This window comes from Homo sapiens, chromosome 9 (assembly GCF_000001405.40).
Source record: "Homo sapiens chromosome 9, GRCh38.p14 Primary Assembly".
NCBI lineage: Eukaryota > Metazoa > Chordata > Mammalia > Primates > Hominidae > Homo > Homo sapiens.
The window spans coordinates 68480855-68508448 of record NC_000009.12 but is presented as its reverse complement, the minus strand read 5'-3'; the positions used below and the strand labels follow the sequence as shown (position 1 = coordinate 68508448).

At 40.9% G+C, this 27594-nt stretch overlaps 1 protein-coding gene and 1 long non-coding RNA gene across 3 annotated transcripts in view; one reads left to right on the top strand and one right to left on the bottom strand.

Moving 5' to 3' along the window:
- The window catches only part of PGM5 (phosphoglucomutase 5), a 174451-nt gene that overhangs the window by 22613 nt on the left and 124244 nt on the right, over positions 1-27594 (bottom strand). For both annotated transcript variants that reach the window (NM_021965.4, XM_047423473.1), the window contains exons 9-10: positions 24401-24584; positions 9088-9222 (exon numbers count right to left, since the gene is read on the bottom strand). In NM_021965.4, coding sequence (NP_068800.2) covers positions 9088-9222; positions 24401-24584 — 319 coding nt within the window. The remainder of the gene's footprint in view (positions 1-9087; positions 9223-24400; positions 24585-27594) is intronic.
- On the top strand, positions 7765-9568 carry LOC124902174 (uncharacterized). The gene is made up of 2 exons (XR_007061565.1): positions 7765-8429; positions 8996-9568. It is a non-coding gene; the product is annotated as an uncharacterized LOC124902174 (long non-coding RNA).

Genomic DNA, 27594 nt, shown 5'->3' with positions numbered 1-27594 from the left:
TTTTAGGTTTCCTTATATTTATTTTTAAAGCTAATTTTGTTTTTTATTTTAAACAACATATAGGAAAGTAGAAAGGAGAAATATAATTTTTTTTAGGGTCCAGGCTTTCTAAACTGTAATCCAAGCTTGACCTAAAGCCAGGATCAAGGCATGCCTTTTGGCTCTTCAGTGGTCTGTTCTTAAGACCACTGGTTCTCGGGATAAGCTGGCAATGCCGGTATTCTTGCAAGATTTGGAATTAAGGGCCTCTTTTGTATATATTGCCACAAAGAGAGATTTGAGATGGGCTCTGTCTGTGGGATTAACATGAGTGGTTCACGGTGGCAGTCCATAGTTTCCCACAAGTCCTAGACCATGTGGAGTGTGGATACACAGGGCTTCACATACTCAGTACCTTGAAAGGAGATCTGATCACAATGTTTGGCCAAGAAAAAGGCTTATTGTCATCAAAACTGTAAAAAGCCCTGGTCTATGATAGACACTAGGCCCTGAGGGAATCTCCCAGATTCCCAACCAAGGGAGTTTTTCACATGCCATCAGATGACCAACCCTCCCAAGGAGTGTTCTCAGCTCCAGGGAAAACAATATGTAGTAACGGCAGAGTATGAGTCCAGATTTCAATATCTAAGGAAGAAAAAGAAGGACTGTTTGCCCTGGCGTTTTGTCTGCCTTTCCAGAAAGTACTCATCTAAGCAGAAATAGAAAAAAACCTATACATCTTTGCATCTTTCCAAGTTTAATTCCGCCCCAAGAGCCAGTTATGAAAACACAGCCATACTAAATTCCTTTCAACACCACTAGAGGGAAATCTAACCCACCTGACCAGAACTTGTTTCTTGTTTCTTAAAAAAAAAAAAAAAATTATAATTACAGAACTAAAATTTTAAGGCTGACACATACTTTGAGACATTATCCTGCTCAATACTTTCTACTCTTGCCCCTGTTTTAAAATTATTTGAATATATGTAGGCAAAGAGACTTAGAAAAGCACAAACTAGCCATCCTAATTGGGCAGGAGTCTTGACAGTTGAGAAATTGTTCTAACAGTCAACGTGAATCCCTTCCAGTTCAGCTTGAGTTTATTTCCTCAAATTACATATTCATTAGTTATGGAGAACAGCTGGTCATCTTTCCCGCCTCACATTATTCCTTAAATTCCTGAAGACCTCCAAGTCACGCCTCTCGTCTAAGTGGAATGAGCCAGCTCCTTAACTTGGTCATAGAGTTTAGAGCCCAACTCTTCACCAAGTGTTTCTCTTCTCAACTCTCTCTTCAACACTTTGCCCTCCCCCATAGTTCCAAAGTGCAGCAATACCGACCAAATTCTGAGGAGAAAAATAAAATGAGGTATTTCCTCATGTTTTCCCTCATATATATGGCTATTAATATATCCTTGCTCAGGTTTTCTTTTTAAATAACAACATCTTTTATTTATTTTTAAAATTGAATTTGTTTTCATTTTTAACTACATATGGGAAAGTAAGGAGAGGAAATATAATTTTTTTCAGGGTTTGGGGGGCTATAAACTGTAATCCAAACTTGACCCAAAACCAGGACCGAGGCACAACTTTTAGCTCTTTAAATCATATATACCTAGTATGATCCCCAAATCTTGCTCTCATACACACATGCATGTACACACATATACATATACAAAAATCTTTGTCTTGTCATGAAAGTGAATGGCTAAGTGAATGTGGATTTGCATCACTTCTGAACTCCATTCTGTTTCTCTTTCACATCATATGTATTATATCCATTTCTACTTTATTCTCCAAGTTTTTGACTACTCACTCTAGATCCCTTATGAACTAGAAAAGATATCCAATATGTATTTAGAACATTATTATTTTCATAATGTTTCTGAATCCTATTCATTGCTAATTCAAAATTAGTACAGAAAACTGGTTGTTTTTAAGACGCTATTCACTTTTACAACTGTTGTTAAAGGAAAAACCTTAAACAAATTAAACTTAAGAGTTTAACTGAGCAAAGGACGATTCTTGAATCAGGCAGCCTTCAGAACCAGATAGGTTCAGAGCAACTTGGAGCTGCCACGACGTCAGATAACATTTATGAACAGAAAAAGAAAAGTGAAGTACAGAAAGCAGAAGTGAGGTCCAGAGATAGCTGGATTGGTTACAGCTCAGTTTTTGCCTTATTTGAACATATTTTGAAAAAGTGGCTGCCTGTAATTGGCTGAAACTCAGCCACTGTGATTGGCTGAGACTCAGCTACTTGTCACAAGAGTAGGTTACAGTCTGTTTACACATCCAGTTAGGTCATAGTTCACTATGTATGGAAAAACCTTTAGGCCAAACTTAAATTATGTAAGGAGGCAGCTTTAGGCTAAACTTCTTTTAACAGTGTGGAATAACAAATACATGTGGTGTTTGTCCTCAATTTCTGGCACAGAGCTCCTAAAACCTTTGGAACTTCCTGAATGATAGGAGTCTTTGTTATTATTTCAGCCACAGCAGACTTTATGCTAGTGGGTGACTCTTGGTGGGCCCCAACATAGTTTCAGGTGGAGGGCTGGCTGCCAGAGGAACCAAACAGGTGGTTAGAGGGTTTGAATGTTCAGCCCCACCCCGTGACCTATAGGGAGGGGAGCAGGGCTGGAGACCAAATCCAACCGCCAAGGGCCAATGATTTAATCAACCATAATTACCTAGTGAAAACTCCATAAGAACACTTCAGCAACAGGGTTTGAAGAGCTTCCAGGCTGGTGAACACATCAAGGTGCTGGAGGCTGTCTTACCCAGAGAGGGCATGGAAGCTCCACACTCCTTCTCCACACCTGGCCCTAAGCATTTCTTCCATTTGGCTGGTTCTGGGTTCTAGCCTTTATAATAAACCAGTAATGCTAAGCGAAGCACTTTTCTGAGGTCAGTGAGTCATTCTAGTGAATTATTAAATCTGAAGGGGGATTGTAGAAAACCCTAAATTTGTAGTTGGCAAGGCAAAAATGTGGGTAGCCTGTGCACCCCATTTGCAGCTGGCATTCCTAGTAGGAGCAATCTTGTGAGACTGAGCCCTTAACTTGTGGGGTCTGGGCTAAATCCAGATAATGTCAGAACTGACTTGAATAGAATTGTTGCACCCAGTTGGTGTCAGGGAATCACAGAATTGATTGATCTGAGGAAAAAACCTCTCAATAACACTGTACTGAGGCTCCAGAGGTAGCCTTGGACTCAAGCACAAATAAAAAGAAATTCTCTTCTGGGCCTTCAACGTTAACATGGACAATGTGGATTTTGTTATAAGAAAGACTTAGTTTAAACCTCCAATCCAGAAATTACCTACTCCATGAATCTGAATTGCTTCCTGACTCAGTCTCCTTTCCTGCAAAAGCAAAGCAGGATAATTCTGCCATGAGGCCACTGGAACGATGAATAAGATAAAGGATGTATTTAGAATGGAGCCTGCATGTTGTAGGGACCTTAAAAATGGCATTTATTTTATTCAAGACCTCAGTCATAGGAGGAAACCTGATGATAGCACCAACATTCATCCTGAGTACAGAATATTTCAGCTTCCTGTGTGATATAATTGGGCTGAGAGATTCCAAAGTAATTAATGGTCAATATTGCAATAATTTGGCAAAACTGCGTTGGGCATTTACCATGTACCAGGTGCACTGGGGATACAGGGAAATAATCTGACAAAGTCCCAGCCTCCTGGTGCTTCCATTCTACTGGGTGGAGACAGATAATAAAATAAAATAAATATATATATATATGATGAGGATAAATGCCATGGAGAAAGCAAAGCAGGGTAGGGAAGTAAGAAGTACCTGCATGTGAGGGCTATTTTATATTAGGTGGCCAGGGACACCCTTACTGAGAAGTAAGGAGACAAGCTATGCAGATGTCAGAAGGAAAAGCATTTCAGGCAGAGGGAACAGCCATCGTAACTAACACGAGGCAGAGCATTCTCGTCATGTTCACCAAACAGCGGTTGGAGTGGAGAAAGAAGCAGGAAAAGAGATAGGAAATGAGGTCAGAGGGAGAAGGGGGCCATTTCCAGTATGTCATTCAAGATCATGGTAAGGGTTTGGGCTCTTCTCTAAATGAGGTGGAGGGGAGGATTCTATCAGAGCTATGAGGTGGTCTAACATGTTTTAGGAACTGCCATTTACTGAGATGGAGAAGAATGAAAGAAACAGCATGCTGGAGTTTGTTTTGGAGGAGTGCACAGGAGGCTGGCGGGAAATCAGTGTTGCACATGTCAAGTTGGTGATGTCTATAAGACATTCAGGTGGAATCCAATAAGCAACAGAAATAGAAGTCTAGAAGACAGAGATCGATGTGTGGAATGGTATTAAAAACAGGTGCTGCTCATTCTACAGTTTTAAAGAATTCAAGGTCCTGCTGCTAGCACTTCACAGTTCACCTAGCTCTTTGCTATTCAATGGGTGGCTCCTGGACCAGCAGCACAGTATTGCCTGGGAGCTTGTTAGAAATGCAAAATCTCTGGCCCTCCTCATACCTGAGTCAGAATCCACATTTTAACACATTCCCAAGGTGATTGGCCGGTAATTAGTTTGAGATGCACTTGTCTAATTAATATCATCTGGGAAATTTTTTAAAAACTACAGGTCCCACCTCAAAACAATTAAAGTAGAATCTCTAGGACTGGGGCCAAAGCATGGGTACTTTCACCAAGCTGCCTGAGTGGTTCTGATGTGCAGCCTGCCTGGGTTGAGAACCTCTGAGCTGACTCTTCTCATTTCTGTATGTTCCCTCTTTCCTTCCAGGTTTCATTGCTAGTTTTCTTAGAAAGCCATCTCCAAAGAGATGCGGTTCTAAGAGAGGATGCAGGCTGGTAGCTAGAGTAATCATGTCTCCTGGTTTATTGGGGACAATCTAAACATAATTACAATTATTATCTTTCGCTCACAAAAGTACAGATCCCCAACTTTGGCTGGATCGACTTAATGATTTTTCAACCTTATGATGGTGTGAAAGAGATACACATTCAGTAGAAACCATACTGTGAGTCCCCATACACCGATTTTTTCACTTTCAGTACAGTATTCATTTCATGAGATATTCAACACTTTATTATAAAATGGGGTTGTGTTAGATGATCTTCCCCAACCATAGGTTAATGTAAGTGTTCTGAGTTTGTTCAAGGTAGGCTAAGCTAAGCTGTGATGTTCTGCAGTCTAGGTGTATTCAATGCATTTTCAACTTATGATGGGTTTATTGGGGTGTAACCCTGTTGTAAATCTAGGAGCATCTGTATTCTGGTTTAGATGACAAATCATATGTTCTTCCTATGTAAAACAAAATGGCTCTATACTTTATTTCTGGATTACAAAGTCTTATTAAGAACAGGTAGAACAAAATGACAGATGACCTTTGGTTTGACAGGTGAATAAATATGAGGGACCTGGTTCTTAGGTATTAGTTGTTAAAGCCTTCTAGGTACAGTTTATCAAAAATACATACTTAAAGCCGGATGTGGTGGTTCACACCTGTAATCTCAGCACTTTGGGAGGCCGAGGCGGGTGGATCACTTGAGGTCAGGAGTTTGAGACCAGCCTGGCCAACATGGTAAAACCCTGTCCTTACTAAAAATACAAAATCAGCCAGGGATGGTGGCGGTCACCTGTAATCCCCGCTACTCGGGGGGCTGAGGCAGGAGAATCCCTTGAATCCAAGAGGTGGAGGTTACAGTGAGCTGAGATCATGCCACTGCACTTCAACCTGGGCCACAGAGTGAGACTTCCTCTCAAAAAACAAACAAACAAACAAACAAACAAATACTTAAATTCCTCAATTTTCAGGAAGACTGGGGGAAAATCAGGCCCCTCCCAAGGACTGGGGTGAGATCGGGTGTGACTGTATTCTGCCTTGAAAGTACTAAAGCCAAGGGTTGATTAGCCACGGGCTGATTATCAGTCTGTGATTTTCCTAGCCCTTAACAAAACTTCTCCTTCCTTTTCCTTTTGGATCTTCTATTGTTCCTTAACTACTCCACCCACAGGCTGAAAGGGACAAGGGAAGAAGGTCAACGAGAAGCTAATAATAGCAGCCCTGCTAATAAATTGGATGGGAAAGAAAACGGAAACAATTGTACTGTTTCTGGTTACCTGTGATTTTAAACCCTTTTGGCTCATTCCTTTTTCCAAATGATTACCAGCTGGTTTGAGGGCTCATTGAAGGCCTACTGATTGCTGGTAAAATTAAAATAAACTTGTATTTTAAAAAACTAGGTAGTCTTCCAGCAACAAGCCTTTGGAAGCTTTCCTTCCTGATTTACCAAGGACACAGAGTGGGATCAGGGCAAGAACCTGCCCATCTCATCAGGGCCCTCCCCGGCCCATCCTCTCCTTACCACCAATTCGTAGGCACATATGGATATAATTTTTAAAAAATATTTTTGATGTAGATAAGAAATTGATATTAACTTAAATAGCATAATCACTGTTCTACAAAAGGATGCAAATGGAAAATCTACATGTGAGTATGGTCTAAATGCATATAGATTATATCACAAGTTTTCCTAATTGCATCACTAGGATTGTTATGAGTATGTCTGCAAGGCAATCAGTGTAAATGCTTAAAACATGCTCTGTTCACATGTGTTCAAAATGTCTGGAAAAGAAACTATCCATGGCCAAAGTAAAATAGCCAGATATTAATAAGCCAGTTGAAGGGAACTCTCTGTTCTCTTGCAAAATAATTTAAGTGTAGATGGCTATTGGGTTAGAGTGGGTAAAACATCAAAAACTACCTGTTGAATTGGAACAAGATCAGCAATGGAATCTCTGCAGATTAGAGAAGGTGGAAGGGGTTCTTTTGGTAGCTGAGAAAGCAACACAAGCAGGTCTTTCCAGTCAGGCCCTGATCAGGAATAACACTAGCAGCTTCAGGAGTACATCTTACTTTTATCTCTGTTCAACAGTTAATCAAAGGCTTTTTAGAAGGCAGAAGCAGGTGGTCCTGGAAAGCAACCCTGTAAGGAGCCCTCAAAATGCTCCCACTTAAAGGCTTAGGTAGAGTTCAGCAGTAATTAAGACAGGTTGGCCTGCTGAGAGAATCTTCTTGCTTTCCCCTAGGTGGTTAGATTTCTTTTAAAATCTTACTCTATGTTATATCCTGACTCAAATGTATTATGCAATAGGGCTTAAGTTGGTGAGTCAATGATGTATGGTATTTTAACAAGGAGTTCTATTTTAATGTAAAACTTTTAGCTAGATCATGTGCTACATACTCGGGGGCCCATCGAGCCAGGTCTAGGAAAACTCTTGCTTCTGAGGAGAAGGGAGGGGAAATCAGAAATTCCAACAGCAACGTCAGTGAAGGGATTCGCCAACCCTTCAAAGTGGCAAATTCTTTCCACCAACAGGATGAGAAATGTGCAGTCATGGGGACCAAAACCAGCATGACTTATGTTTCCTTTACTCACATGACCTTCTAAGAGTAGGCTGATGGAGACTTTCAGCTTCAAAGGAAGCCTTGGGAAAAGAAAAAAAAAAAGCACTGCTTTTGTGGACTGCCTCAGGGAGAGACTCTTGTGTGTATAGGATTGTTGTGACACTTGTCTAATGGCCTGGTCTCAGTCCAGTGCGGAGGGTAAATAAAAATAAGCAAATATCACAGCCACTTGCCCTGTGCAAATAGGGAAAAGAATGTTGAGGAAAAAATAGCCCGGAGTCAGAGTGAGTCAGAGTTGGTGAGGCCAGGAATATCATTCCTCACGTACGTAGCTCTGGACTTTTAGGCCCCTGCTTTAATCTCCCTCCCCAACATGAGATGTAGAATAGTGTTTTATTTGGAAAGACAGGGTAAGCCCCAAATTCTTGCATGATTTGGTACTATCTTGGGAGAAATGTACGCACTAACCAATTATTTTGGCAGAGTGTGTCCCATCCCCTGCATGGAAAGGCTATGATCCTGAGAGGAAGAGCCAAGGGCTTCATGCTGGCCACCTGCTTTGCCCACTCATGCTCTTGGTAACCCTGAGAATAGCTCTCAGCCTCCTCCAGCCTCTCCTGTCCCATCTAGGATGATTTTACTCCAGACAGATCTTCTGGCTGTAGGGTCAGGTGTAAGGATCTGTAGCACCCATTATTGCCAAGTTCTTTGAGACTCTCCAAAGAAACAGACCATGAAAAAAACAAAACAAAACAAAACAAAACAAAAAAACCCCTAAACTACTGACAAAGAAAGAAAAGCCTGCCAGGTATCTTACTCCATCAGGGCAAATTATAGCTAGAAATTCTGAGCACCTCTAAAATGAGTAGCAGTGAGTATTTCTCTGTTTCTCTACTTTTCCACAAAGGAAGTATGGCAGGTAGAACCAATGTTTTCATCTGAAAAAATCATCTTATCAAGGACCTTGCTTCAAAACCCAGATTGAAGACACCAAGAAGACAGGAGCAGCCAGCTGTATAGCTTGAAGTACCCAACATTAAAGTGAGTCATTTCTGGTATTAATTAATGTTGGCTGGAGCTTTAATGAATGTGGGAGTGGAGAGGCTTATGGTTGTGTTATTTATGATTTTTCTGAGTTCTTAATTAGCCTTATTGTTGAAAACATGAGGAGACTTTGCCAAACAGTCTGGCTTAGCCTTGTCAATGTGCTTCCTTAACTTAAAAGGCCACCTATATCCTCTCCTCTCAGAGTGGACAATGTAGCAATCTCAGAGACAAAGCCCATCTGTATTGGCACCTCAAGGTCATGGTCCAAATGTCTGGAGATTCAAAAGTTACATAAGCGTAGTCAAGGCTCTGAGAGTTTCACCAGTTTGACTCTAACGCTAAATTTCCTTGTCTATAAAAGGTGCTTTTTCTTTACCCCAATTAACAAACCACTCAACAGTCAAGAGAGGACAGTTGTTTGGGAAATGCTGGTCTAAACGGATTACAAATAGATGCGAGAGAGCAATTTTTCTGTTTCAAACACTGTAATGAACGAATTAAACTTGCTTGGAGTTGCCCTGAGCTTGTCCTCCAGCTGAAATTATCATGTACCTTTCCAGGAGGTAAAATAGCCCCACTAAAGGCCCATGGAGCTCTCTAAATTTGCCAGGAGCTGCGAGACACACTGCTGGGAGCACAGCTGTTTCTGTACCTGTGGCTCCTGGTCATGGCCGCTGGGATCCCTCTCGTAGCTCTCTGCGTACAGTCTGAGGGTGGCCCGCACACCACTGGAGGAACTGAGCCGGAAGATGAGCCGTGATGCATCCGAGAAAATGATCCTTAGGCCCTGAGACCAAGAACATCCAGAATGGAGCAGTGAGCAAATGAATACACAAGTAATAATCATTAATACCTGCCACAGAAATCAGCATGTTTTTATACCTCAACACAATCAGAATCAAGACCATTTATATTGGCTCTGGATACAGGGCATGTAATGAATGTGATGAACCTACTTAGAGTTACCCATTTGTCTCTTTATTCTATTTCCGTTGCTTTGTGGTTAATGTGGGGAAAGAGGAGCAAAGCTGTGAACAGATACTCAAGTTCTCTTGGGCTGGTGATATGGGAATCAGAAAGAAGTGGAAGTCACAGGGATGAAATGATATTCAATAAATATTCCTAGGGCCAAAGTTTGTCCCTTGTAAATCTGTGGATTAAGTGAAAGCAGGCAATTTGTCTATTACAGTAAGACGGATTGCCCACATTAAGGTTACCCCAGCATGAGGTTAGGCTGCAGGTTCCTCTGCTGGCAAGGGAATGCTCCAGTGAAGTGCCCAGGGCTGGAGCCTCAGCTAGGCTCTGGGGGTAGCCAAGTACACTGCCATCCTCTTGGCTCTGTCTTTTCTTCTGTCAATCGAGAAAAATGACAAGTCTCAATTATTTTAGGAGGTTTATTTGCCAAAGTTAAGGATGCACACCTAGGAGACAGGTCTATGCCTTTCTCCAAAGATGATTTTGAAGGCTCCAAATTTAAAGGGGAAAGGGCAGGATATTGAGAAGTACACAATTTTCATGTAAGAGGTGGGTAGGGAAAAACAGTCATTCATGCCTTTGTCTGGCTCAGTGAATCTGCATTTTTTTTTAACATAAGATGACACAGACAAATGAGGCAGAGGAAAATTGCAGGGAATCTGCATTTTATATAAGATAACAGACAAAACTGGGCCAGGGGAACAATCAGATATGCATTTGTGTCTGGTGGGCCAGGGGTGACTGCATCTATAAACTATCAATTTATATTGCCATGGTGAAATTTTAATAGAAACACCTTTAGTGTAAAGATCTAGCAGCTCACTGGGAATTCCCTTGTGGGCAAAATATGGGGGAGGCATGTAGCTTTTCATCTTGTAGCCATCTTATTTAGGAACCAAAAGGGGGAGGCATGTTTGCGTGACCCAGTTCCCAGCTTGAATTTTCCCTGTGGCTTAATGAGTTTGGGGGTCCCAAGATTGAATTTCCTTTCACACTTCTTACCTGACTTCTTTTTTGGCCTGACCACCAGAGTGGGGTGGGGCCAGAGCTGTGGCCACATCTACTAGTGCTGCCTAGGATTAATTCCTCATTGGCTCAGCACATCTCCATTCGCTATGTATCTCTTCTCAGTAGAGGCAGGGATATTGTAAAATTATGACCATAAGATGATACTGTGACTTCTGTTGAAGGAAATGTGTTCTCCTAAGACAACTGATAAGGTAACTCTTGTAAATAAGCATATTGGCAGGGGCCAGGGGAAGGAAGAGGAGGCAACAAAATAATATATCTGGTGATTTGTTATTTTGGAAAACTTCTATGTCTCAGGAGACATTGATATCAGGCATTCTCCCAAAGCAATTTATCCTTGAAATTTCTCTGGCCTCAAGTCCTGTTTAAGAATAAGCCATTAGTAAAAATATATATACCTGCTGCATATGTGACTGCAATTATTTACCCCCACCCCCATCTGGTGATATCTGCTGGGAGACACTATGGTTCCATCTGAGTGTCTTTATGCTTTTTTCAAGTTGTGTAGGCTTTTTTGTTTCAATCCCCAAATAAATAGCTTTAGTTTCTTTTGGAGTGGTTCAATGTCTGCCACAATTTGTGTAACCAAAGGGAGCTATCTCCCCTACTGGCAACCAATCACTCTGTAATACTGGCTTTGCAGACAGGATGATATTATCCAGGATTTATTCACTGGGCAAACATTTTAGTGTGGCCCTTATGGATTAGGCACTGTGCTAAATCCTGGGTATATGAATATAAAGACACAATAGTTGTCCTCCTTAAGCCTGGAGTAATTTTTTACAACGAACAGAAACTGTCTTCTTAACCACCTTATGCTGCTGGAGAAGTGAATAGTTACAAAATTCCAAATGGAGCAAGTGAAGCAATTACTGACTGTCTACAAATCACTGTATTTCAAGTTACGTTCAAACCTACAATAAATCCCCAAAAGTCTCACAATTATATTGATATTCACAGCCTTGTTTTTACAAACTCTTTTGAAGCTGTTACCTATGTTTAAGCCTACATTCCCGTTGTCACTACACGTGGGGCGCGTGAGCACGTGACTCTGCTCAGAACTATGGCTTACCCATAAATTGGTTAAAGCAATATCTAAGGATGAGGTCCTAACCCACCTGTTGCAGATTCCAAGTCACTTGGGATTACCTCTTCTGATGAGCCCCCAGACTCAACCCTTTGAAGTACCTCCCATTAAACAATTAACATTCTCAGATTCATTTTTGGCCAGTGAGGGGAAATTTAAGAATTCAGGTCATAACAAACTATAAACATGTGTTATCTGCTCATAACTAAGCCTTTTAAAAATGAAATAATGTTATTGTTTTCCCCTGAGGTTAATTATAATGTCTTTGACTATACTACATGCTACATGCCTAGAAGATTGTTAGAACCTATGTCTGGTAGCCTGGAATAGATTTCTCACTTGGAAAGATGACAAAGATGTGAATAGCATGCATCAGCCTACTGGAAATGGTCCAGCATCTTCCCTCTTTCCTAGGAAACTAACCATGAGATCTTAACTGAGAATCCATGTTGCTTTTCAAGACCATTCCAGGTGAGGAACATCATTAATTCTCCTTCTCCACATGGAATGTAAGGGTTTCTTTAGAGCCAGCCTAGTTCTGTGCTGCAACAATCCCAGCACCATGTCTGCTGAGGCCCCCTTTTATGTGTGAATAGCTGTATTGGATTGCTTTGGGATCTGCATGTTCTTTCAACGAACTTAATGAATTTGCAACCCAGACACGAGCCATGTTCTTTCCATCATGTGTCATCACCCAATAGCATTTAAACTATGAAGCCAAAGTTACCACTGACCAAGACTTGCAAAGTTTCCAATTGTTCCTGAATTTCAATGAAAGAATACCAATAATCGCATTTATTTTTTAGGTTATACTAGGGGTTGGCACTATGTAGCCTGTAGGTAAGAAGTTGACCTGCCACCTACTTTTATGAAACAAGTTGTACTGGGGCACAGTCGTGTCCATTCATTTATATCTTGTCTATGGCTGCTTTTGTGCTGCAGTGGCAGAGATGAATAGTTGTGGCAGAGACCATCTAGCCCCCAAGGTATAAAATATTTACTACCTAGCCCTTTACAGAAAATGTTTGCTGACCCCTGGTATAAGGCATTACATTATTCACAACATAGAATACTTGCCTTTTATCCCTACAGCATAAGATAGAAAATATAACCATTTGAATTATCAAAATCTCAGTAGAGAGAAATTATGTTTATGTAGATTGTTATAAGGATATAAAATCCCTCCATTCCCTGGTGTTCCAGCTTCTAGTCATAGGTTCACCTGAACCTGTATTTGGCTCAAATCAACTTACCTCTCACCACCTACTCCTAACATAAATGAATTTATTAAATTGCACTTTAGTTTTATGTTCTCACTTTTACTGCAGGATGCTACAAGCTATGTCTTATAAAATCCACTTTTGTAGTCACTAGTAGAAATATTGTTAGAGGCTGTATGAAGCTCTGCCTGAGACATTCCTTCAAGAGCCAAGTATTAGGAAAGCCTTTCCTTCCCTAAGGAACTTGTATTCTTTTTCTTTCTGACAATAAGAACTTTGTAACTAACCACATTTCCCTTTTCGATATGGCTGCCAGGATACTTAATGCCAAATTTGAGGTTCAGCCCAAGTGGATCCTCATGACTTGCATGACTATAAATTTTTCTTCTTCTGTTCTTGACTCTACTCTTACTTATATATTCCCTAGTCTTGATTTATGTTTCTTATTTATATTCTAACAACTTCATTATGTGTGTTTTTGCCGCCACAAGTCTTGAAGAAACAAGGCTCAGTGAAAATGAATAAAACAAGTTTCCACCGCAGTGTTAACCTTAAAATTTTGGACTTGCTGAGTTATGACTTTGGGTTCTTCATTAGCTAACAAGCTCTGGGAGGACAGAGCCTTATATACCTCATTCATCATCATTTTATCCACATAGCCTAGGACAATGCCTGGCACACTGTAGACCTTCCATAAACACTTGTTGAATGAATGTCACTGCACGTTCGACAACTAAAGTGAGCACCACTGCAGTCCCCCTGAGGCAGTCTCAGAGAGCCTGCCTTCGCATTTAGCAAGGATCCACAGGCTACATGAAAACACATGCACGTTCTTCATGGTGAACTAGAGCTGATGTATCTACCTTGAAGAGTGGTTGCAAAAGATAAACTAAGAAAGTGCCTGGCATAGCATCATCATGGCAGGGCTTGACTGTTTATTCCTCCACCATTTCTCAAGATGTCTTAAGACAAGGGCCAGTTTTGGCTAAAAACAATGGAGTTGAACCATGGTAGGTTCTTGTCCCCAGATGTATGACCTTAGGCAAACCATTAGCTCATTAATTGCAAAATGCTACATATTGAAATCAGTGGGAGGTCTTTAAAAAATGGTGGTGCCTGGCTTTCACCCCAAACATTGTGATTTAATTCTTTTGGGGTGTTACTTGGGAATTAGGATTTTAAAAGCTTTCTGGGTGATTCTAATGTGCAGTAACTAATTGCAATAACCTCTTTTTTCTGGGTCACTTGCCTCATCTATCAAGTGACTGGACTGTGCTACATGTCCCTTATAAGGAAGGTCCCTTTAGGATTTAAGGTTTCATACATAGGCTCTCACTGGGCTGGGACTGTAGGAGGGCTGTTAACACAGTGAGGCTAATAAAACAACTTCATGCCACTGAATCCTGAAAGCTTCCCCCTGGGGCCTTGTCAGCAGCAGAACCACCTCTTGAACCATCTGACATTATTATTTTTTTTTTTTAGCACAGTCTTCGTAGGAATTCCTGGAGCAACTGTGAAAGAATTCATGATATCTCACTAGCCACAGCAGCTAGAGTAGCCGGAATATCCAGGATGACACATAGCCACACACTCAAAAAAGGGAAAAATATGCTCTCCTTTATTAGAAGACAATGTTAATTATGTGGTGGGGAGGAGTGTGGGTATCAAAAGAGCACTTCAGTTCCAGCTTAGTGTTTTCCTTACTTTTCAGTGCCTGTGGTTGTGAGCTTTAATGATGACAGTCGAGTTCTGCTCACCTTAGCTTTGTCCCAGTGAAGAATGATTGATAAAGGATTTCATAACCCTTGTCCATATGCAGCTATCTCCACACAAAAATCCTTCAGTGTGCTTCCAGTTATCACTGTAGCATCTCTTTTTCTCCCTGGATTTGCCCCCTCTTTGATTTGCTGTTTATGAAGAGTCAGTTTGGAAATGATACAAGAATAGCAACTGGATAAACTCAGGCTAGAATGCTGGCTTGGCCACTTTTTTAGCTGGTGGTCTTGAGTCACTTAAGCTCTCTAAGCCTTAGTTTCCTAAAAAGCAGTTGAAAAATAATACAGCCTAGCTTATTGGGTTGTTGTGAGTGTCAGATCTTAACATCCTGAAAGAAGGATCTTAGAGTCATTCTTGCCAATCTCTCTTTTTATTGAAAAGAAAGAAGTTAAAACACTTGCTCAAGGTAACGTATTTAGTAAATGGAGGAGCTTCATTTACTTCCATTTAGGTCTTCTGACTCTAGGCTTACAATCTGAGGTTGAACCATATGCAACTACTGATATTCACACATTGCTTCTCATGCGAAATATCTGAACAATATCTTATGTTTTGTATTTTTCCCAAAGCTGACACAGAGCCTTATGTAGAGTAGGTATCTGATAAATGTTTGATAAATAAATGTTAGGGTTTTTACTATTTTTTTAATTTTAAAAATAAACCCTTGTGTAAATCAATACAGGGAAATCTGTAAGTTGCTAAATACACACAGAGCTGCCAGATATTAGTTTGGAGACTGTAGGACATGTTGTAGCCAGGCAGGGAAGGGTGAACTGTACATTACCAACAGTTATTTGGCAGCATTGGACCTAGTCAAATACTGACTTGGGATGAATTCCAGGGGAAAACAGCATATGGCCCTGCAATCTGGTACAGTGTCGCATATATAGTCAGTTGGCCACAGCAGGCATGTGAACCTGGAGACAGGACAGCCTTGGAAGAGAGAGACTCTGCGAGCCTAACTCAGATCTTATCTCCCACAGGAAATCACAACGATTTATCTGGAAAGCGTCAAGGTGAAGATACTGCTTCGTAACATCTGAACCATATTTTGTAGAAGTGGGCATGCAGCCTAGAAAGCAGGAGATTTGGATTGAACAGACGTATCTTTCCACACACACTAAAAAAACCCACCTAGAATTACCCATTTTTCTTTGTTTAATAATTCATAGAGTTAGCTGTGAGCATGAGTCCAAAAGTGGTTGAGCAAGGCAGCAGTTACTCCATATGGTGCTTTTGTGTGAGTTAAAAACAGGTGCCCCCCTCTACCCCCAGCATGGATAAATTGCAGAAAACCATCCTTCCTTCGGCTGGCTTGGACTTCAGCTTCTCCTTCCCCATTAGGCTGGGTACCATTGTGCAGTGTGCTGACTGCACAGCCATACTCAGCTGCCCTGCTCTTGGGAGCAGTTCTCACCCAGCCTCTTTTAAAAACCAACCAGCCTTCTTGGGGGCTAACAATTGCAAAGAACTATCTGGGGAAATCAAGGTCAAGTGACTCCTTACACGCTCTTTTAAAGCACTCACCTAGAAAAGCCATGCTAGGTGATGAGAGGGCTGCTGGAGGGCGAAGACTTGAAAGCTATTCCTCATCCAAATTCCAACTCTCAAAACTGGAACAATGGAACAAAATCATGCACCTTCTATTTCCCCATTTCTTTGGCCAATGACTGCTGATCCCTGTTCACACAATATCCACCCCAGTTCTGGGATATTTTGGATTCAGGCACACTTTACCCAGACAACGGCATAGCTTCCTCCCTTAGTTCCTGTGATCATTTGCAGCTTTTCTCTTTTATATTTATATTTCCTGGTGAAGCTCATCCACCCGACAACACAGAGACATTAGTATTCCAATAGAAAGTAACTGTGTTGTCATTCGATAATGCTTACACGCTTGCTACACATTTTAGGACAATTTTACTACTGACACTTTAGACAATAGTTCTAAAGCAATCAACTTATGCCAGGAGAAGGTAATTCTTTATAACAATACTCCAGTTAACCAGAAACAGGGAGATGAGAACTTCCCGACTAACCAGAAACAGGGTCTCCCTCATTCTATTTTCTTTCTCGCTTTTTTAAAAATTTGAGATGAGGTCTCGCTGTGTTGCCCAGGGTGATCTTGGACTCCTGGACTCAAGCAATCCTCCTGTCTCAGCCTCCCAAGTAGCTGGGACTACAGGCATAAGCCATTGCACCCAGCTTCCCATTTTATTTTCAAATCAGCTGACAGGTCATTATAAAGTACTGAATATGCGTTTGGCCTTCAGAGGACAAATAGGAAAATCACAGGAAAAGTGGCTAGTAGAAATTATTTTTTTAAACCTATGGTTTTCAAAATGTCCTAGCACAAGCCATAGTGCAATACAGAGCCCGACTGTCTTTATTTTCCCCAACTACAGTGTTGTAGAGTGAGCACTGAAGTTGAGAATCCTAATCACAGTTATCGTAGCATCCCATTGAGAATGCCTATAGGAAACCTTAGCTCTTTATCTGGAGAGCTAAACAACCATATAACAACCACATTGGACTGAAGAAAAGCAAAGAGTCTGATAAAATGGTTTCACCTGGGCTGCCTTCTACCCATTCTTCAGAGTACAACTTAGATATCACCTCTCTATGGAGAACTTTCTAGAGCCCTAGTCTAGTTTCCCCCGCTATGCACACCAAATAAGTTCTTCCTCTGTAATACCGTTCAACAAACTCTACAGTAATTAAAGTTTAATATCAATTTATCTTCCCTGCTAGATTTTAAGCAGCAGACAGGAATCTCAACTGTCCTGAATACTGTTGTATCCTCGGTGCTAATGAGCTGACTGGCGTCTAGTAGGTGTTTGGTAAATACTCACTGAATAGATGAAGTTGTAAATGAATCAGCCTCTAACAACCTTCACCATATTAGACTAAGTTAGGAAAGGAATATATGTTTATTGCAGAGATTCTTTTCAACATCACAATTTTCAAAGAAAAAGGTTTTTTTAAACCCACATCGAATCACAATAAACTAAATGTGATAATAGCCCATTCACTTAAACAGTTCTGTGACTCAGTGTAGAAGTGCTATTTGTGGGTATGCTAATTTTCAGATTTAACTAAATTCTATAGGTGGGTTAATCAGTGTGACTAAAATGATTTCTGAGGCTCTACTTCCAGATGCGCAAACCACACTCCAGCAAATGGCACTCCAGCAAAAGGGACAAGGATAAATTGTTACAATTATAGTCTCTCAATTAGTTCATTGATTAGAATGTGATCAAAGTTGAAGTTGAGGTCAGGCGCAGTGGCTCACGCCTGTAGTCCCAGCACTTTGGGAGCCCGAGGCAAGCAGATCACCTGAGGTCAGGAGTTTGAGACTAGCCTGACCAACATGGTGAAACCCTGTCTTTACTAAAAATACAAAAATTAGCCGGGTATGGTGGCGCATGCCTGTAATCCCAGCTACTCGGGGGGCTGAGGCAGGAGAATCTCTTGAACCCAGGAGGTGGAGGTTGCAGTGTTGCAGTGAGCCAAGATCATGCCACTGCACTCCAGCCTGGTGACAGAGCGAGACTCCGTCTCAAAAAACAAAAAACAAAACAACAACAAAAAACAAAAACAAAAAGTTGAAGCTGAAATTTGACTAGCTAACTCTGAAGAGAGAAGAACTCAATCTTAAAGCTTCAGATTCTCCAGTTGATATGATTCAGTTGCTTTTATACAGTGCTGGGGACAACACCTTAGTGAGCTGCTTCATATTTGCTGACCAGGGGTTTGTTGCATCGAGGTACATATTAAAACACCACATGCTGGAAATAAAATGTGACTTTGAGATTGCCAATTTACTATTTCTAAACACTGAAATTAAAAAGAGCAGACACCTTCTTGCAAATTAAAATAACAACGCTAAAAGAAAACTGACTTCAAAATCAGTCTTCAAAGTGTGCTTTTTCTCTGAACTAAATTCAAACGGTTCTTTTTTTCCAGGTTAAGGACAACATCAAAATGTTTCCACATAGCCTGCTTAACTTGAAGAGGTATTAATCAGCTCAGAGTTAGCCTGACATAATCAAATTGGATTTGGTTTTCCACATCACCTAACTGGTATGCATTTATTTACATCAGCTTTTTAACCATCAGCTGAACTGTGACTTGCAAATGACTTCAGCACTGGAAGAGTTTCATGATTTTTGAGCTTGTTAGAAATATAGGAGTTGGTTTGGGAGGCCGAGGTGGGCGGATCACTTGAGGTCAGGAGTTTGAGATCAGACTGGCCAACATGGTAAAACCCTGTCTCTACTAAGGGTATAAAAAAATTAGCTGGGCGTGGTGGTGCACGCCTGTAGCCCCAGCTACTCAGGAGGCTGAGGCACAAGAATCGCTTGAACCCGGGAGCAGAGGTCACAGTGAGCCAAGATCACACCACTGCACTCCAGCCTGGGCGACAGAGCCAGACTCTGTCTAAAAAAAAAAAAAAAGAAAAGAAAAAGAAAAAAGAAAACAACAACAACAACAACAACAACATAGGATTAGGATGAGTCATAAAAAGAGACTCAGTTGCTTAAATTTTGCTCCTGAAGTGTCAAGGTTTCTCATTTCAAATCCAGTTTTCAAAATATAGGTCATGGTTCTGGATTGATACCCACCATAGTGGAAATATGCTGTCTCTCAATGTGGAGCCATTTCTGTCACACTGTCCTTCACTCACAATACCAGGATTGGAGTATTCCTTCTATCAGAGCTGGGGGAGTCTCACAACTGTGGCACTGAGTGGAGATTCCAGGACTTAGGCCACATGTTAGAGATGGAGAAAAGATCATAGTAAGAGACAATCTTGATAATATTCTTTAGGGTATCGATGGTGAAGGGAAGAAAGAGCTCACCTAGCATGATGGATGGAAACCCTCGATGTTTGCACAATGAAGTCGCCCCTGAAGAAAGAGTGGCTCACCCTGCAACCCACATGAATCACACAACTCCTCTCTGTCCTATCTCTTTAGAAGGTATAAACTGGGAACTCCTTTAACTACTTAGCCATTTGATCAAAGTGCTCCCCTATTCTCATTGTAGCTATAGGCTTATTTTTTTCCACTTATATTTGAAGAAAATAGCATCAGTCAGTCCTTCATGTGACTAGATTTCACTTGAAAATAGTGACATATCCTCATGAAGATAGAAGGAAGAACTGCAGTTGTTGAACCATGCCTCATGAAAATGCTTTCTAAATCAAACAGAGTCTCTCTTGGGCCCTGTATAGTGGAAAGCACACATCAATTTTTCTCTTGGCATCCGAGGTCACACATGCATCAGACACTTGGAGGCAGCCATAGTAAATCCCATGAAACCAAACATGCCACATTGAGGCCAGGGAGGTCCCTGGGAAATCATGTCAGGGGTTGAGAACTTCAGGGTTTCCTTCTTGCTCCTTGAATGGTCCCATAAAGCCAGGCAGGATAGCCTTCACTGAACGTTTCCACAGCAGCAGGGTTGGCAGTAGTGGGGTGGTTATCACCAGAACAGGATTTTAATTTCATTTTGGATGGAGAAGCATTTCTACTTTATCTCTGGAGATGTATGTGAAACAGGATTTTTTTCCATGGTTTATTTCCTGACTCTGACCTCAGGTCAAGGACATAAAGGAGACCAAGCTGCCTTAAAAAACCTTTCGCTTTCTAAAGCAGAGTGTGTGTGCTGGGGGATGGGAGAGGGGGAGAAATATGAGTTTGAATCAATTCCCAGATGACTTAGAAACTGAAGGGGCCTTCTCAAATCTTTATGTGACACTGCAAAATTGTGTGTTTTTTTTCTGCTTTTCTTATCATATCTGGTTCATTCAATGCTACAGTCTTTCCCAAGGATGCTTTTTTTAAAACATAAATAATTTTATTTAACCAATTGTTATCATTTGTTATGTGCCAGGATTTTATAAGTGTCATCTCACTTAATTCTCCCAAACGCTTATATGAGACAGCCACAATTATTATTCCTATTTCACAGATTTTAAAAATGCAGGTGTAGGGGGGTTGAATAGCTTGCCTAAGATAACCCAGCAAGGAGGTGGCAGAGTTGAGGCTCAAACCCAAAACTTTCTGACTTCAAGCCTGCACACCCAACCATTGCTCACACGATTTACAATGGCACCAAGGTTGCCTTGGGTGCTCTGGAGCAGAAAGCTGCTCTTGAAGAGAATTTCTGTATAAAACGGGAACAGCACAAATTTTAACAATTCATTGTTGAAAATTATTTCTGCTATCTACTTTTTTTTTAAGTAAGTAGAATTTAACCCAAACAAGAGACAACTGGGAATCTCCCACTACCTTGGGATCATCAATCTGAGCCTCAAATTTTACTGCAAAGTACTTTTAAAATAGAATAAATAGAAGAGTTGGGTGAGGGTTTTCTAACCCTAGGGCACACTGATTATTACTTTTAAAAATATACACCTGATTTGTGTGTGTGTGTGTGTGTGTGTGTGTGTGTGTGTATGTGCGTGTGACACAGAGAGAGAGAGAGAGAGAATAGTTGTATCCTTTTCTTGAACTGATATTCAATCAAATTAAGGATTCTGGTCAAGGGGAGGGAACTGATATTTCTTGAGCATCAATTAGGTACTTGCCGCTGTACCTGAGGCTTCACATGACTTTCTCTTCAAACTTTCCCCATGATGCATGTGTGATAATTATCACTAGCTCCTCCCCTCAAGATGAGGTTCAAAGAAGTTAAATAATATGCCTAAAATCACAAATCTAGGCAGTGACAAGGCCAGCTTTCAATCCTGTGTCTATCTGACTCCAACACAAGAGAATACTGAAGAGAACCACAACAACCTGCCTCCTGTAGGAAGCAGACACTTGGCAGTATTATGTCTCCTCTGAGCTTTGCTAACAGAGAGATATAGTTCTGTTTCTCCTTATAGAAATCAAATCTCCTTCTATCTTAATTTAAAAATAATCCATAATATAGTAGGTTGTTTTAAAATAACAGTATTTTTAAATCACAAAGACATAATAACAAGGGTTAGCAAAGGTGTGGAGAAACTGGAACCCTCATATACTGTTGGCAGGAATGTCAAGTGGTGCAATTGCTTACGAAGACCATATGGCAGTTCCTTTAAGGGTTAAACATAGAGATACCATTTGACCCAGCAATTCCGCTCCTAAGTATGTACCCAGGAGAATTGAAAACCTATCTCTGCACAAAAACTTGTAGATGGATGTCCACAGCAGCATTATAGTCAAAAAGTGGAAATACCTCACACATCCAACAGCAAATGGATGGATAAACAAACTGTGGTACATCCACGTGATAGAATATTACTTGGTAATAAAAGGAATAAGTACTGATATATGGTACAAAGTGGATGAACCCTGAAAATATTACAATAAGTGAAAGAAGCTAGTCATAAAGGACCTTGTATTATATGATTCCATTTATACAAAATGTCCCAAATAGGCGAATCCATAGAGACAGAAAGATCAGGGGTTGCCAGGGGCTGTGGGTTGGAGGGATGTTGGGAGGAAGATGACAGCTAAAGAGCACAACATTTCTTTTCTGGGGTGATGAAAGTGTTCTGAATTGGTTGTGGTGATAACTGCACAATTCTGTAAATATACTAGAAACTGTTGAAGTGTGCCCTTTAAATGAGAGAACCATCTGGTATATGAATTATATATCAATAAAGATACTATATATTTATATTTTAAAACTGTACCATGAAAAAAAACAAATTATGCATTTGGTAGGCTCTCAATAAATATCCACTGAATGAATGCACCAAGGTACTTAATGGTTATTTTAGAATACTAGTTTATTTAAATTCAAATATGTCTTTCAGATGTCTATAGTTTGAAAAGTATGCTTATTTTGCACTATGTTACCTAAAGTGTACCCCAGACTCAACTATCCCTGGGGCTGAATGCTGATGCATGTTGACATCCTGAGAGGGTCTCAACAACACTGCTATGCAGGGATTCCACCTCTACCCAACAGGACCAACGGCAGCAAAGGAACCATCTGTAACTTGCCAACAATGGGGATGCTGCTAAGTATTAAGTAACTGGTCTCTCATCACCCCCCTTGAGCTAAACCCAGACCTGCAAAGAAGCTCTAGTGTGTCTCAGGACCACCAGCCAATGAAGATATCACCTGGGTCCTGGAATCTGGGAAAAGGAACAAAAAACTTCCTTCTTTCTTTACCAGAAAAATTCCCAAGAGCAGATCCTGGCAGCATGTATCCATTTATAGCTACAATTGAGCTCAGACAGAAGAGTGTAGAAGAGGTTGGGGGAAATCAATACTGTATTAGTCCATTTTCATACTGCTATGAAGAATTACCAAAGACTGGGTAATTTATAGCGGAAAAGAGGTTTAATGGACTCACAATAATGGTGGAAGGCGAGGGAGGAGCAAACACATGTCTTACATGGCAGCAGGCAAGAAAGCATGTGCAGGGGAAGTGCCCTTTATAAAAACATCAGATCTCATGAGACTTATTCACTACCACAAGACTGCACAGGAAAAACCCACCCCCATGATTCAATTACCTCCCACCTGGTCCCTCCCATGACACGTGGGGATTATGGGAGCTACAGTTCAAGATGAGATTTGGGTGGGGACACAGCCAAACCCTATCAAACACATTCCAGTGTAAAAATGAAAACCAACAGTCAGAGTTATGGAGGGGGAGGGGAAATGAAATAAATAGATGAACTTGAGATACAGTTGCAGAACTGGCCTGATGTGAACAGTTAAAGAAAATCTAAGGAAAAGGTATCCAAGCACTGAGTACACTGAGGAAGATATAAGGTAGAGGAATACTGCATTAACAGCAAAACAAATAAGCTCAACAGACAAGCTTCTTGCAAGTAGATAAAATCCATAACTGAGTGCGGATTAGACCATTCCCTTGAAGGAATGGTTTCCGAGCCTTCCTTGTCGGTGAGCAAAAATATCCCAAGGATACTTTAAAAGGCACATTATTTTATATCTCTTGAATTCTACATCAAAATGAGACTTGAATCTAAGAAAAGTTTGTAAAATGGAAGTGGGAATGTGGTCCAAAACTGGAAAAGACCTATCCAGGGCACGGGGGCTCAAAGATGCCAGCTGAGCTCCTGACTTTACAATTCCAAGGACTGACTCACTGAGGCCCCAAGGACAGGGATCTTTAGTTCTTGGTAACTTTTCTGAATCTGTCACCAATAATGGCCACCACATATGAGCACCTGCAGGCTACAAACATTTCATAAGGAAATGTTGGGTCTGTATTTATTTGACATATTGGTCTATCCATTACCAAGTGGGACAAATACTGGACATAGAGTACCCATGTTCTTTTGTTTTTTTTTTTGTTTTTTGTTTGTTTTGTTTTGTGTGTGTGTGTGTGTGTGTGTGTGTGTGTGTGTGTTTGAGACATGGTCTCACTTTGTCTCCCACGCTGAAGTGCAATGGTGTGATCATGAGTCACTGCAGACTTGACCTCTTGGGCTCAAGCGATCCTCCCACCTTAGCCTCCTAAGTGGCTGGGACTACAATTGTGTGCCACCATGCCCAGCTATTTTTTTTTTTTTTTTTTGGTAGAGATGGGGGTCTCACTTTGTTGCCCACGCTGGTTTTGAACTCCTGAGCTCAAAAGTGACCCTCCCACCTTGGCCTCCCAAAATGCTGGGATAACAAGTATGAGCCACTGTGCCTGGCCACAGAAAGCCCATGTTCTAATCTACCCTGTGCACTAACTTGTTAGGTGTCCTTCATCAAGGGCTTTCCTCTTTCCTGGCTGCACAGTTCTCATCTATAAAATGAGGTCACCTTAGATCATCCCTAAGGACCTCTCCAGTTCTAGGACATTTTGGCCACTGGTTCTGCCTGATAACCCGTTGTAGTGATTTCCTAGCAAGTACCTGTTTCTTGGTCACAGTGCCATCCACAGGGTCCACGTATTCAAAACTATCCGTCTTCGCCACGCTGTAGACATGGCTCCCCACAGCAAACTGCTGGCCAATGAAGGATTTGTCTGTGACCAGGGCCTCCAGGTCCCTCATGATATAATATGTCGTCTTGGGATCCAACCCCTCATAGTCAAACCTGGTGAGGACACAGGAGGAACAGAAACCTAATCAGAGAACCAGCAACTGGGTGGCCCACTTACAGTTATTTAATCATTGGTTCTGTTTCCAGGGAAGGACAGCACAGAAATGCACCTTCAACTCATCTCCCCTCTTTCATCTGACCCTTACAGTCCATTCCCCATACAGCGGCCAGAGTAATCTTGTAAAAATCAAATCATGCCACTTTCTTTCTATTAAATCCCTCTATAAATTCCCATCACATTGAGAACAAAACTCAACACTTTAACCTTGGTCTATCAGGCACTGTGGGATCTGCCCTGGCCCACCTCTTTGACTCAACTTTGTTCTGTCTTTTTATCATTGTTCACTGGCTCCAGCCACACTGGTCTCTTCTCCAGTGTGCATTGACATTGCACCCTTTCCTGCCTCTGGGCCCTTGCGCTAGCTGTGTGTTCCCTCTACCTTGTACATTCTTCTGCCAGCTCTTCAAATACCAGGCTCGTTCTTTCCTTCCATTTTCAAACCCACTGTCACCATTAGAATGTGACCTTCTCTGACCATCTATCTAAGGCAGCTTCCCCACTCGTCTTCTTCTCTCATCACCCTTCATATTTTCTTTTGGTAGTTATCCCAAACTGTATGTATCTTGTTTGTATATTTGTTTACCTATTCATTGCCTGTCTTTGGCCACCAGAACGTGAGCTCCAGGAACTGTCTTGCTCTCTGCTATTTCTAGTACATAGTAAGTTCTATGTAAGTAGAATGGAATGAAAAATGGGAGAAAGGAAAGGAAGGAAGGAAAGAGAGAAAAATCAAGGAAGGTAAAAAGAAAGGGAGAAGGGGAACTGAGCACAATATAGAACTCTTGGAAACTTGGAAGAAATATCACAATTGTTCCATTCAAAAAAGTCCTCCTAGCCAAGCGTATTAAATGTAACAATGGGGCTGGAAGTCGATTAGAAAAAATAAAATAAAAGACTAAAAATAATACCAATTGCATTTGTCATTGTGGGGTTTAAAATATGATGATGTATACCAAGAGTTGGCACAGTGCCAGGCACTTGTGCTTAAAAACAGCTAACAACTTTTATTTGCCATCACCACCATAAATAAACTATATTTTACAATGTCAGATGGTCTTGGCTGAGACCTAATGGCACACCTAGGACTGTCTGTTTAAGAAGGAAGCCATAGGAGGGGCAGCTGCACCCAAGTCACTTGGAGGATCTTACATTTGGGCTTCCTGTAGCATAGAGAAAGGATGTGAGTTCTCAGAGTGAACTGGAAGAAGGAAGCTCTGAATAGTTGTTACTACTTTTTTCCACTCAAGATCTTTAAGACATCCAGTAAACATCAGCATATTAGCCAAGATGCAAAATATGGAATAATACCATGTCTAGCAATGGGTCCCCTGCATCTACATCCCTTTCTTTTATTCTCTTCCTCCTACACAAGGTGTTTTTTTCTCAGCCTCAGAGGGAAAAAAAAGGAACTCCCTCAGAACATTCTTTTTCAGCAGGGCATATATTCTGAGACTGCAGTCACTTTAAAGGTAGACATTTGGAGAAGGTAAAGACCCAACCAAGGAGAAAGGGGCAGGAAGACAGGAGAAGAGAGTCTAGCAGGAGACAGAGAGGCATTGAAAGAGATTCAGGAGTTGAAAAAAATCCACTAATATGATAGATCACGTTCAGTCTAGGGTTGAGAATCATCAGATCTGTTTGCCCAAACGTTCACCTTCATATACAAGCAGGATCTAGCACTGCCTTCCACCCCCAAATCCCCGTCTGATCACCACCAATAACAACACACTTTTCAAGGAAGAAATCTTTAAATGGAAGATTCCTTCTGGGGTCTACTCATACAAGAAAAATAATCTGGAAGATTTTCTCAGATATTCAGGCTCAGTATTAGTTAAAGTGAAATTGTTTTATTATTTTCAGCCTGCCAAGAAAATTGTCAAGCTAGGAATAATTACATTTCACAAGCACCTTCTAATTTGCCATTTGCTGGGGGTTGAAGGAAATGTTTACCTTTCATTCTATGTATTTTCTCCTCCCTTTTTCTTTATCTCTGTGATCTTTTTGGAAAGAAATCTGAAACATAACTCAATGTCCTAGAAGAAATTAAATCTGTATTGCATATTATTTTCAAATATGGTATTTGTTATGAAGAAGTAATTATCATGTAAGCTCTTGGCCACAAAAAATAAACTACATTATAAATACAGTTACCATAACACCAATTATTCAAGACACCAGCAGAAACCTAGATAATCATTCCACAAATTATGAGGAACACATCTCTGACTCAAAGCGATCTCACTAGGCCAGAGGTTGTCAATCATAATATATTTTGTCAGGTTGGACGTTTTGGAACAGCTTCATGCAATAGAAGAATGTCATGTGCCAATTAACTCTTGGTATGCCAGGAAAAGAAAACACACATGAATCAGGGGGTTTTGGTACTTGTTAGAAATAATGAGTAAACCAAGTTTCTACCTGTCCTGAGAATTCATTTTTTATGATACACTGAATAATTCGAGTTGTTTTGCAAGCTATCACATCCCCAGCTTTCTTGACTAAATGGGAACTAAGAATATGATGTTGTTGTTGTTTACATCTCCCAGAAGGTTGTAATCTCTTTGATTTTAACGAGTACAGTCATGGGCTTCCTTATTCTCTGATACATATCTAAGTAAAAGTCTTCTTAACAGAAGAAATAATCACCTTATGAGGAAAGTCTAAAGCTCTCTTTCTGTCCCTTAAGCTCTTGAAACACAACCAAACATTCAAAGTAGTTAACTATTCATAAACAAAGCAAAATGAGTCACAATCTTTCTGCTTTTAATACAGAGTCTCTGAGACTACCCAAGGATTCCCTTGCCCCACCTCCAAGTTCTTTACAGTTAACATCGTTTCCTACTCCCTCCTCCTAACCCATGGCTTCGTTCTTGTTATGTACACATATCTAGCATACCTAGGTTCACACTCCTAGCAAGTAACCACACTTCCAGAATACTCTTA